General features: G+C 41.3%; 1 protein-coding gene across 1 annotated transcript in view, besides 1 other annotated feature; it reads left to right on the top strand.

The window, feature by feature from the left end:
• CFAP53 (cilia and flagella associated protein 53) overlaps positions 1-13,316 on the top strand; it is a 39,303-nt gene that overhangs the window by 19,419 nt on the left and 6,568 nt on the right. The window contains exons 6-7 of the mRNA NM_145020.5: positions 3,961-4,177; positions 8,372-8,474. Coding sequence (NP_659457.2) covers positions 3,961-4,177; positions 8,372-8,474 — 320 coding nt within the window. The remainder of the gene's footprint in view (positions 1-3,960; positions 4,178-8,371; positions 8,475-13,316) is intronic.
• Positions 6,063-7,262: an enhancer, noted in NCBI's record as "P300/CBP strongly-dependent group 1 enhancer chr18:47766185-47767384 (GRCh37/hg19 assembly coordinates)". NCBI's record gives its function as "activates an origin of replication core promoter dependent on BRD2, BRD4, P300/CBP, MED14 and CDK7 cofactors, with strong dependence on P300/CBP, by STARR-seq in HCT116 cells {active_cell/tissue: HCT116}" and the evidence as "EXISTENCE:reporter gene assay evidence [ECO:0000049][PMID:35650434]".

Raw genomic sequence — 13,316 nt, 5'->3', positions numbered from 1 at the left:
TTATTGAATTGTAAGAGTTCTTTTTTTTTTTTTTAAATCTCACTCTTGTCGCCCAGGCTGGAGTGCAATGGTGCAATCTCATCTCACTGCAACCTCCACCTCCCAGGTTCAAGCGATTCTCCTGCCTCAGCCTTCTGAGTTGCTGGGATTACAGGTGCCTGCCACCACGCCTGGCTAATTTTTTTGTATTTTTAGTAGAGACGGGGTTTCACCATGTTGGCCAGGCTGGTCTTGAACTCCTGACCTTAGGCGATCCACCCACCTCAGCCTCCCAAAGTGCTGGGATTACAGGCGTGAGCCACCACGCCTGGCCAAGAGTTCTTTATATTTTCTAGATTCAAGTCTCTTACCAGATAAATGACTTGCAATTATTTTCTTTCATTCTATAGGTTGTCTTTTTACTTTTTTGATGATGTCCTTTGAATCACAAAAGTTTTAAATTTTGACAAAGTTCAATTTAGCTATATTTTCTTTTGTTGCTTATGCTTTAGGGGTCCTATCTAAAAAATGGTTACCTACTCTAGGATCACAAAGATGTACTTCTTTGTTTTCTTGTTAGAGTGTTATAATTTTAGCTTTTACATTTAGGCTTTTGATCCATTTTAAGTTTTGTATATGGCATGAGATAAGGATCCTAATTCATTATTCCTCATGTGGATATCCAGTTATTCCAGCATCATTTGTTGAAATAATTCTCTAATTGTTCCCCTATTGAATTGTCTTATCACCCTTGTCAAAAATCAATTACAGTAAAGTGAAGGTTTATTTCTGGACACTCAGTTCTATTCCATCAATCTATATCTCTATCCTTAGTCCAGTATAACAAATCTATATGTCTTGATTACCGTAGCTTTGTAGTAAGTTTGAAATCAGAAAATGTAAATCCTGGCCTGGTGCAGTGGCTCACGCCTGTAATCCCAGCACTTTGGGAGGCTGAGGCAGGAGGATCACCTGAGGTCAGGAGTTTGAGACCAGCCTGACCAACATGGTGAAACCCCGTCTCTACCAAAAATACAAAAATTAGCCAGGCATGGTGGCCCATGCCTGTAATCCCAGCTACTTGGGAGGCTGAGGCAGGAGAATCGCTTGATCCGGGAGGCGGACGTTGCAGTGAGCTGAGATCGTGTCATTGCACTCCAGCCCGAGCAACAAGAGTGACACTCCACCATTGCACTCCAACCTGGACAACCAGAGTGAAACTTCATCTCAAAAAAAAAAGAGAGAGAGAAAATGTAAATCCTCAAACTTTGTTCTTTTTAAAATTGTTTTGGCTATTCTGGCTCCCTTGCATGTCCAGGTATCTGGAAGTTACATGGATCAGCTTGTCAATTCCTGCAAAGAAGCCAGTTGAGATTTTGGTAAAGATTGTGTTGAACCTGTAGGTCAGTTTGGGAAGTGCTGTCATTTTCACAGTATTGTTTTCTGATTCATGAACTTAAGCTGTCTTTCCATTTATTTAGGTCTACTTTAATTTCTTTCAATAATGTTTCTTAGTTTTCAGAGTATACATTTTAACACTTACTTTGTTAAATTTATTCCTAAGTATAACATTTCTATTTGGAAATAAAATTTTTAATTTCATTTTAGATTGATGCTGTCAAATAGGAATACAAGGAGTTTTGTATATTGGTCTTGTATCCTGCAACATTGCTAAACTCGTTTATTAGTTTTTTTTTTTTTTTTTTTTTGAGACGGAGTCTCGCTCTGTCGCCCAGGCCGGACTGCGGACTGCAGTGGTGCAATCTCGGCTCACTGCAAGCTCCGCTTCCTGGGTTCACGCCATTCTCCTGCCTCAGCCTCCCGAGTAGCTGGGACTACAGGCGCCCACCACCGCGCCTGGCTAATTTTTTGTATTTTTAGTAGAGGCGGGGTTTCACCTTGTTAGCCAGGATGGTCTCGATCTCCTGACCTCATGATCCACCCGCCTCGGCCTCCCAAAGTGCTGGGATTACAGGCGTGAGCCACCGCGCCCAGCCTTATTAGTTTTAATAGTTTTTTTTTTTTTTTTTTTTTTGAGATAGAGTCTCATTCTGTCACCCAGGCTCGAGTGCAGTGGCATGTTCTTGGCTCACTGCAACCTCTGCCTCCCAGGTTCAAGTGATCTTCCTGCCTCAGCCTCCTAAGTAGCTGGGACTACAGGCTTGTGCCACCACACCCAGCTAATTTTTTTGTATTTTTAGTAGAGACGGGGTTTTACCATGTTGGCCAGGCTGGTTTCCAACTCCTGACCTCAAGTGATCTGCCCACCTCAGCCTCCGAAAGTGCTGGGATTACAGGCATGAGCCACCATGCCTGGCCAAGTTTCAATAGTTTTTTAGTGGATTATTAGTTCACTCTTCTTTTTGGTGCTCAGATTGCCTGATTCTAGATCATGAGAGTCCCTTCAAGTGGGCTGTCATGCTCTTTTGATACTGTCCACCAACAGACTTTGATAGTTTTCTTGATTCTGACACAATAAGATGTACCAGGTTCATCCTGTTCAGTTTCTGCTCCAGTCTTATATTGATTATTTTCCCAAGGATTGTTGGTTCTTTTTAGTGGGAAATGGTATTTATCTGTTTTCACACTGCTATAAAGAACTACCTGATATTGGGTAACTTATTTAAAAAAGAAGGTGTAATTGACTCACAGTTTCACATGGCTGGGGAAGGCTCAGGAAACTTAAAATCACAGTGGAAGGGGAAGCAAGGCACGTCTTACTTGGCGACAGGAGGGAGGGAATGAAGAAAGCCACACTTTAAACCATCAGATCTCATGGGAACTCACTATCATGAGAACAGCATGGGGGAAACTACCCCCATGACCCAATCACCTCCCACCAGGTCCCTCCCCTCACACATGGGAATTACAATTCAAGATGTGATTTGGATGGGGACACAGAGCCAAACCATATCAGGTGTTTAATAATATCTACAACCTTGGTATTGGATGAACTCATTGCTATTGGATAGTTACTGCAACATGGCAGTAGCCAACTAAAAATGCCTGCGCTAAATAAACAGCAGGTCTCAACTTTAGCTGCACATTACTATCACCTGGGGGAACGTAAAAGGTATCCATTAATTAGGAATTTCTGGGGGTGGGACTCGGCCCTTGATTTTTTTTGTTTTTGTTTTTTTTTTTTTGAAACGGAGTCTCGCTCTGTCGCCCAGGCTGGAGTGCAGTGGCACGATCTCGGCTCACTGCAAGCTCCGCCTCCTGGGTTCACGCCATTCTCCTGCCTCAGCCTCCCGAGTAGCTGGGACTACAGGCGCCCACCACCACGTCCAGCTAATTTTTTTGTATTTTTAGTAGAGACGGGGTTTCACCATGTTAGCCAGGATGGTCTCAGTCTCCTGACCTCGTGATCCACCCGCCTCGGCCTCCCAAAGTGCTGGGATTACAGGCTTGAGCCACTGAGCCCAGCCAGATGTCAATACTTTGTAAAGCTCCCCAGTGACTCCAAAGTGTAGCTAAGATTGAGAATTGCTGTAATAAAGCACAAAATGACTACCAGCCAGAGAGACAGTGCTCTAATAGTAGAAGTAACTTATTTTGTTGATCAGATTAGGATTTCATATACCTAAATTAAAGTAAATGAAAATAAAGCTGTATCATTGAAAACTATTTGGCAACTACTTTGAGAAACACTTTGGGAAAGTGTTTGAATTAACTTATTCAAACATTTATTATCAAACATTTTAAACAAATACAAAGAATTGCACAATGAGTCCCCACGTGTCCATCACCTCACTTTAACAACCATCAACTGATGGCCATTCTTGTCTCTTCTATATCCCTACCCATTTCCCCCGCTACTCTTGAGTATTTTGGAATAAACTCCAGACATACATCTGTAAATGTTTCAGTACATAGTTCTAAAAGATTGGGATTGGAGCTTTTAAAGATTTTTTTTAAATGTATCCTTACTATAGTATCACACCAAAAAATTTTAACAATATGAATTTTTATGTTACATAGGAAGATATGATAAGAGAACAGAAGATATACCATAAATATTTGGCACAGAGACGTGAGGAAGAAAAAGCTCAGGAGAAAGAATTTGACAGAATATTAGAGGAAGACAAGGCAAAGAAGTTGGCTGAGAAGGACAAGGAGCTGAGACTTGAAAAGGAGGCAAGGAGACAGCTTGTGGATGAGGTCATGTGTACAAGAAAACTTCAAGTTCAAGAAAAGTGTAAGGAACTGAATTACAGTTATATTATAGCTTGCCCTTAATTCAATTTAAGTAACAACCAAAATACTAACAACCATAATACTTATTATGTAAAACACCATGAGGGATGCAAAAAGGATGAAGGCAGGAGGCCTGTTATTGCAAATCTTATCTAATTGGATATATATGAAGAGACCAGCAGATTCCAATCAGTCACGGGGAGAAGTTCTCAAGGTTAAAGGAACAGTACATCATTTGAATACTGTATGTCTTGGTGATTAGAATGAAGAGTGAGAAGGTGGGGCACAGACATACAGCTCCCCCTTGTCCTTTGTATCTGTCCCTCTTTTCTTTCGAAAGTTATCTCCATACAGTTTCGGGAAGTCAGGGACCCTGAATGGAGGGACCGGCTGAAGCCACAGCAGAAGAACATAAATTGTGAAGATTTCATGGACATTTATCACTTCCCCAAATTAATACTTTTATAATTTCTTATGCCTGTTTTTACTGCAATCTCTGAACATAAATTGTGAAGATTTCATGGACATTTATTAGTTCTCAAAATTAATACTTTTATAATTTCTTATGCCTGTCTTACTTTAATCTCTTAATCCTGTCATCTTCATAAGCTGAGGATGTATGTCACCTCAGGACCCTGTGATGATTGCGTTAACTGTAAAAATTGTTTGTAAAATGTGTGTTTGAACAATATGAAATCAATGCACCCTGAAAAAGAACAGAATAACAGCAATTTTCAGGGAACAAGGAAAGATAACCATAAGGTCTGACTGCCTGCGGGGTCGGGCAGAATAGAGCCATGTTTTTCTTCTTGCAGAACGCGAGTAGGAGAAATATTGCTGAATTCTTTTCCCAGCAAGGAATAGCCCTGTGGAAGGAATGCATTCCTGGGGGTAGGTCTATAGACAGCTGCTCTGGGAGTGTCTGTCTTATGCGGTTGAGATAAGGACTGAAATATGCCCTGGTCTCCTGCAGTACCCTCAGGCTTACTAGGATTGGGAAATTCCAGCCTGGTGAAATCTAGTCAGACTGGTCCTCTGCTCTCGAACCCTGTTTCCTATTAAGATGTTTATCAAGACAATGCGTGCACAGTGGGACGCAGACCCTCATCAGTAATTCTAATTTTGCCTTCTCCTTGTGATCTTTATGACCCTTTGAAGCATGTGATCCTTATGACCTACTCCCTGTTTGTACACCCCCTCCCCTTTCAAAATCCCTAAAAAAAAACTTGCTGGTTTTGTGGCTTGAGGTCGCCATCATGGTCCTGCCAATATGTGATGACATCCCAGAGGCCCAGCTATAAAATTTCTCTCTTTGTACTCTTTCTCTTTATTTCTCAGACCAGCCGACACTTAGGGAAAATAGAAAGGACCTACGTTGAAATATTGGGGGCTGGTTCCCCCAATGCTATACCTTTGTTTATGTCGTTGTCTCTGCCTATGATGCTCTTGATCATGAGAAATCTAGATATCTTTCAATGCCAGCTCAATTGACTCATGCCTTGAGCGGCCCTCTGTGTTCTCCCATTTAAAATAAATCCTCTTTCCAGGGCACTGTGGCTTGCTCACATCTCAGATGACCAACTGGCCAGGAGGGTCTTTATTTGGAGACCATACTCAAAGTTTGGAGAATCTTTCCCCTTTTTAATACTTACATTCAATCCACATTGGTTACTAGGTATTTCTTTCATAAAGGGAGTTTAAGCTATTCTTGTAAGGGTAAGCTTTGTTTTAAGGTTTCTGAAAGTTACATCTGTGCTGAGATGACCTTTGTCTCTTGGAAATCCCTGGCCTAGGCTGCATCATACTGCTAAGTGATACATAGTGTCAGCCCTGCGAGATGCTTAAGTTAACTTTATGGCTACCATTAATCTTATAGCCACATTATGTCTCTTATTATTATACTACAGTATGCCACTATGTTCCCTCAGCTTCAAGCAGTGCTTGGTCACAGAAGGATGTTTGTTGAGAGGGTGAATTTCCACCTCCAGATTTCTGCCATTTCCATGTCCAGCCCAATGGACCAGAGCGGCAATAAACACATTTCTTGTTAGGGTACCATTGGATTTCGCACCAGTGGTCTTTGCAAGAGGAAGCTCATCCTGGTCCCATTCATTAATTCTTCACTCCAGGAATTACAATAGCAGTAGAAAATTGTTAAGCCAATATTAGATGGAACTTTTAGAAACTGCGTAGAAAGTTTATATGCTGAAAAGATTTTTATATTCGTCAGTGATGTTAGAAATAGACAATCAGTGCCACGAGGAAAAGTCAGCACAGAGAGAGATGATCTCTCAGCAAGACCATCTTTACTTCCTGCAGAAAGGGTGCTCAGTCACAGATGGAACAATAGCGAGAGCACATCTGGGCAAGGGAGGGGAAGAAGTTCTTATTCCTGACTCACGTGGCCCCTGCTGCTGTGTCATTCCGCTATTGGCTAGGATTGGACTGCACAGGCTAAACTAATTCTGATTGGCTAATTTAAAGAGAGTGATGGGGTGAGTGGTTTGGCAGGAAAAATGGTTATGGAATGAGTCAGGGTAGAGAATGAGGGCAGAGCAGGTAATTGGAATGAGTCAGGGTGGAGCAGGTAATCAGAATGAGTTAGGGTGGAGCAGGTAATCTGAATGAATCAGGGTGGGGTAGGTGATCAGAATGAGTCAGGGTGGGGCAGGTGATCAGAATGAGTCAGGGTGGAGCAGGTAATCTGAATGAGTCAGGGTGGGGCAGGTAATTTGAATGAGTCAGGGTGGGGCAGATGATCAGAATGAGTCAGAGTGGAGCAGGTAATTTGAATGAGTCAGGGTGGAGCAGGTAATCTGAATGAGTCAGGGTGGAGCAGTTGATCAAAAAAGGTCACTTTATGAGGAAGTTAAGTTTAAAAGTAGAAGGCAAAGAATTGAACATACTGACATATTGATTCTTTGAAGATAAATTTAGAACTCATATCTAACAAGTGATAAATGTTATAGAAAATATTGAAAAAACATGGAAAATTTATTGAGACCATTTATAAACAAGGAAACAAAATCAACCATAATTCTACCACCCAGGAATAGCTACTATTCACAGCTTTGTGTATTTTCTTCTAGTATTTTTACTACATATATAATTTTCTTTCACAAATTAGAATCATGTAGTATATACTGTTTTATGGTCTATATTTTTCACTTATCAAAAATATTTTTAAGTCATTTTTTGTCAATTATAAGATTTGTAATGACTGCCTACAAATCTGTTATAAAAACAGACCGTAACTTATTTTACTTAAACACAGCAATGACTCTTTATATTGTTTCTAATCTTTTTACTGTTATTTTAGAATTCCAGATTACCATCTCCATACATACTTATTTTTGGATTGTAACTGGTTGTTTAAGATGAATTTCTGAAATAGACTGTGGTACCAAAGATATATACATTTCAGATGTATATTAGCCAGTTGTATTTATTATTTTGTAAACTCTGTTTCCTTTGTCTTTTTTTTCTATTGGGATGCTTAAATATTTTTAACTTACAAGAGCTTTATTTATTTATTTATTTATTTATTGAGACGGCGTCTCACTCTGTTGCCCAGGCTGGAATGCAGTGGCACGATCTAGGCACTTGTGCCTCAGCCTTCTGAGCAGCTCAGATTACAGGCACGCACCACCATGCCCAGCTAATTTTTGTACTTTTAGTAGAGACGGGGTTTCACCATGTTGGCCGGGCTGGTCTCGAACTCCTGACCTCAGGTGACCCACCTGCCTCAGCCTCCCAAAATGCTGGGATTACCGGCATGAGGCATTGTGCCCAGCCAAGAGCTTTATATATTTAAATAATATTTATTTTATAATAAATATATAATAAATAATAAATTATTTATAATAAACTTTTATTAATATGAATGGCAATGAACTGTTTGTCTTCAAGGAGAGAAAAGTAGGAAGTATTTTAACATTAGTAATCTGGTATGAAAAAGGGTAATTATAGATTTTCAATGAAAAATGATGAACAGAAAATCTAGATTGTAGCATATATGAGCCTAAACCCAATTTATTTCTCAATTGAGATGTGTACTTCTACTTTATCAATCTAAGATCCAGCCTTGATTCTAAGCTCTGCCTTTCTAAAGACAATATGACTCTGGTGCCCAGAAAGATGTTGGCAATTCTTGTCTGAAAGTCATTTGACATATAATTACTTTTGCTTTTCTTAGTGCAACGAGAAGCTAAAGAACAGGAAGAACGTGCTATGGAACAGAAACACATAAATGAAAGTCTTAAAGAACTTAACTGTGAAGAGAAGGAGAATTTTGCAAGGTATGATTTTGTTTTCTGTATCATCATTTGCTACCTAAAAAATGGATTTTTGGCTAGCCATGGTGGCTCACACCTGTAATCCCAGTACTTTGGGAGGCTGAGGAAAGAGGATTGCTTGAAGCCAGGAGTTTGAGATTAGCCTGGGCAGTATAGCAAGATCTCATCTCTACAAAAAAATAAAAATAAAAACTAGCCAGATATGGTGACATAGACCTGTAGTCCTAGCTACTTGGGAGCTGAAGTGGAAGATCACTTGAGTACAGGAGTTAAACACTGCAGCTATGATTGTGCCACTACACTCCAACCTGGGCAACAGGCAAGAACTGTCTCAAAAAAACAAAAACTAAAACAGATTTTCAACATAAAGACCATGTGCCATAATTCATGCATTATTGACATTATTTTACATTAGTATTACACTTGTCCTTCTAGACGCTCAAAGCAGTTTACAAAATTTCATGTAAAAGTAGGCACCAACTGTCTTGGTAAAATTAAATTCCATTGCCATTATGTATATTATGATTATACACATAAGTTATTAGGCTGGATGAATATCTTTAAAAATAAAATAAATTTGAAACACTTAAAAAAATTGGCACCAACCTTAAATCCTAATAAAATAGCAAGAAGATTTTTTTTCCTCCATGAAACAAATCCTGAAAAGCAGGCTGGCCTAATCAGCTAGATTAGCAGAATGGCTTATAGGGACAGGATTCCATACAAATGTCCCTAGGAGGACGTGTTTAGCCTTACTGCACTAGAACACTCTGGATGCTTTGGGAAATACCACTGCTTTCCTCTGACAGGCCTTAGGCTGGGGATTGGTTAGTGTCCTTCTGATCACCACAACCAGGCTCAGGTGGGGGAAACAGGCAGCTACCTCCCTGCAGTTTTTCTTATACCATCTCAGTCTCTTCCCACTGGTGGCCATGATACCTAAATCAGGCAGCCAGTGTAGTGGAGGAAGAGGACCCGGCTTCTCTGATTACTGGTCACCCTCCCTGTTCCTGGGGCCTGTCCTTTGACTTACTCACACTTGGTGCATAGAAATTAGCTCTTCTCTTTCTAGAAAGAGTATGGTTAATGTGCCTGATCTTATTCTCACTTTGGGGTCACAAACAACAACATCTGGCCTACCGTTCTGAGTTCCTGCTACTGCCTCTGCTGTGGAAATCTTTCCTTCTCATATATATATATATGTGTGTGTGTGTGTGTGTATGTGTGTGTGTGTGTGTATATATATGTGTGCGTATATATATATATATATATATATTTTTTTTTTTTTTTTTTTTTTTTTTGAGATGGAGTCTTGCTCTGTCACCTAGGCTGGAGTGCGGTGGTGTAATCTTGGCTTACTGCAATCTCCGACTCCCGGGTTCAAGCAATTCTCTGCCTCAGCCACTCAAATACCTAGGATTACAGGCATGCACCACCATGCCTGGCTAATTTTTATTATTTTTAGTAGAGACAGGGTTTCACCACCTTAGCCAGGCTGGTCTTGAACTCCTGACCTCGTGATCCACCCACCTCGGACTCCCAAAGTGCTGGGATTACAGGCGTGAGCCACTGCGCCTGGCCTCTTTCTCATTTTTAAAAAGTCTTCTGTTGGAGATTTGTGAGGACTCAATAAATATCACATCTCTTCCCTGCTAAACTTCTGAATTGGTGGAGAGATAAGGAAGAAATTATGGGCAGAGGTATTACAGTTACCTATTGCTACATAACAAAACACCCTGAAATGTGTGGTTTAAAGCAATTTATGATTATCTCTTATGATTCTGTGGGTCAACACGGCTCACCTAGGTAGTTCTTGCTCGGAACATCTCATGTCATTGAAGTCAGATCCACATGACTGAGGCTATATATTCATCTGAAGGCTCAACCTAGGACACCTACTCATATAGCTGGCAGTGTATGCTGACTGTAGTCAGGGATCTCAGTTATCAACTAGGAGTTTTAGTTGTCACCTGGAACCCCTATGTGTGGGCTCTCCATGTGATTTGGATTTCTCACAGTATGGTGGCTTGTTTTGAGAGGGAGAGTTCCAATAGCAAGTATTCCAAGAGCTAGGAAGAAGCAGCTGCCAGGCCAGTTAAGAGCTACACCTGGGACTGGCATAGCATTACTTCTACCATATTCCAAAAGTAGTTACAAGGCCCATCCTGATTCAAGGAGATGGAGATAGAAGCTCCACCTCTTGACAGGGTAGTAGAGGTTTGCATTGCTGAAGCGCATAACTAGGCTGGTGGCATGGGGGTAAAAGAATTTACCAAGACAGTTGTAGGTACAGGCAGATTAACTAGAGAAAGTAGGAAAACTCAGTGCAAGAAAGCAATGGGCAGCCAGCAAGAGAGGAGCTGACTGCCAGGAAACAAAGGCTTGCCAGAGATTTTATAGGATGGTTCTTGGGCTACTTGATAACACCAAGGTAGCAGGGAGCTGACTTGCATTCTTCTGTCAGCCGAGGTGTTTGATGATAAATCGAAACATTTGATGTTAAGCAGAAGTTTGTGAGTTTTGTATGTTATCTGCACAGGAGGGCTGTATGTCCTGGGCCATGAACAAAGGCAGACCTATAGCTTACTGCTTTATCTCTGCTTTATCCTGGTTCCACCAGCCTGACTCCTTTTACCTAAATAGGATTCTACATTTCCCCCAACAGAGCAACAATGACAAATCTTTGGCATGTGGATGAAGGTCTCATCTTCCAACTGCTTCTTGCCCACCAGGGGTGTATAGTTTGCCCGACCTAGGATTGTTAGTTGGTCAGGAGGTTACATGGACCTAAATCCTTGGGTTGGGAATTAAATTGGGCAGGGTGGCTGTGGGACCATGGGGGAACAGCATTTGCAGCCTAAAATATTGTCCTGTTGCATCCAAAGGAGAGTCATGGAGTTCTCTAAGTGGCTGATACCCTCACTGCAGTAACATTTTGGTTTGAAATTGTTGTATTCTAGAAATCACAAAACAAGATACTGCATTAACAATACATGGCACAGATAAAGTAATATGAATCTTACTGTTATTATTATTTTTTGAGACAGAATTTCGCTCTTGTCAAGGCTGGAATGCAGTGGCGTGATCCCAGCTCACTGCAACCTCTGCCTCCCCAGGTTCAAGTGATTCTCCTGCCTCAGCCTCCCAAGTAGCTGGGGTTACAGGCGCATGCCACCACGCCCAGCTAATTTTTGTAATTTTTAGTAGAGACAGGGTTTCACCATATTGGCCAGGCTGGTCTCAAACTCCTGACCTTAGGTGATCCACCTGCCTCAGCCTCCCAAAGTGCTGGGATTACAGGTGTGAGCCACCGCACCCAGCCAATATGAGCTTTATTATAGATGGGAGAAGTAGGGCAACCCATAGCCAAACCCAGCTGGAGAAGCTTTGAAATAGCTGTGCCAGAAAGGAATCTTCAGGAACTCCTTTTTGAGGGCCCTCTAATACTTTGATGTCTTCTTTTATCTTTTCTAAAGTTTTTTGCTACCTGACCTGAGGTATTGATGTAAGAGCAACAAGTTTCATTTAACAGCATGCAGGTGCCTCCTGCCTCAGCGTTAAGCACATCCACAGCACATCAGTTTTGCAAGACAACCCCTGCCAATGAATTTAGGACCTGTTATTGGGCCTTGATGGCCATGACTTTAGCTTCTCAAGATTGCTGGACTAAGATGGTGATATTACAAATGCTGCACTCAAGCATGGGTATACCTGCAAACCAAAAGACTGCATGGGCAACAGAATGTCCTAGACCATTCCTCTCTATAATGAGATCATCAGTGGTGAGGATGCCAAATGATGGAAGGTTGATTAAATCCCGTTTCTGTTTCCTTTCTTCTGATGGCCTTTGAAGGGCCCAACTTAGGAAGGATCACAAATTTGGAACTTGGCCAGAGGTTATAAAGTCTAAGGAGTTATATATATGTACTCCAGGTATTGCTGCAACTATAGTGCACGTCCTCTCCATTTAATAGGCAAGGCTGGAAAAATGTTGGATCCACACAAAAAGAAGAGCCCAGTTCCTTTTAAAGAAACTCCTGAGGAGGGACCTTGTAACCAGGCATAGGTGTGGTTAGTTTGGATTCCAGTATAATTTGCATAAATAGAGGGATCCCATGGTCCCCAGGGATCAAATGTGGCTGGGTGGTGACCTAGAAAGTAGTCATTCATGCATAAGGGAGGAAAGTTTTACTTGTGTTATATGAATGTGGGGCCTGGCAGATAAGAGTTTTAAACATTAATGAGATAACGGAAAATCAAGAGAAAGTTGTAGATGTATTAGTGAGGTTGAGAAGTTGTCCAATCTCAACCCCTATTCCTATATATTCTATCCCAGTAGCTGAACTGTTTATAGGCATAAAAGGATCACTATAAATTTTGCTGGCATTAACTTTGTTGTTTCCCCACCATAGAGAAAACCTGCAGAGGTACACAGTGAACTTGTCATTGTTGTCATATAGCTTCCATTCCTGGTGTGTTTGATTATAGTTGAGGGTGTAATTACAATGGGCTTATGTTAAACACCCTAGGAAAGGGCCAGACCCTTTGGAGTTTCTGATGCAGAGGTGAGCCTTACAAGTGCCTATAAAAGGGCCAGATCCCTCGGATTTTCTGATGCAGAGGTGAACCTTACAGGCCATCTCTGGTGCCTTCCCAATCTGCTCCGTCACAGTGGATGATTGCCATGAGGAATCAATTGGCCTAGGCTCCCCTCCTAAACCTGTGTTTTTGGTGTGTGTGTAAATGGTGTAGTTGAATCCAGAGTATCAGGCTTGTTAGTAATTTCTTCTATGGATAGCGGGACTGCTAGGATATAATGTTATCTTTGAGTGCCTGTCCGCATGG

This window comes from Homo sapiens, chromosome 18, assembly GCF_000001405.40.
Source record: "Homo sapiens chromosome 18, GRCh38.p14 Primary Assembly".
Taxonomy (NCBI): Eukaryota; Metazoa; Chordata; class Mammalia; order Primates; family Hominidae; genus Homo; species Homo sapiens.
Note: the sequence above shows the minus strand (reverse complement) of the source record. Positions and strands in the feature narration are given on the sequence as shown.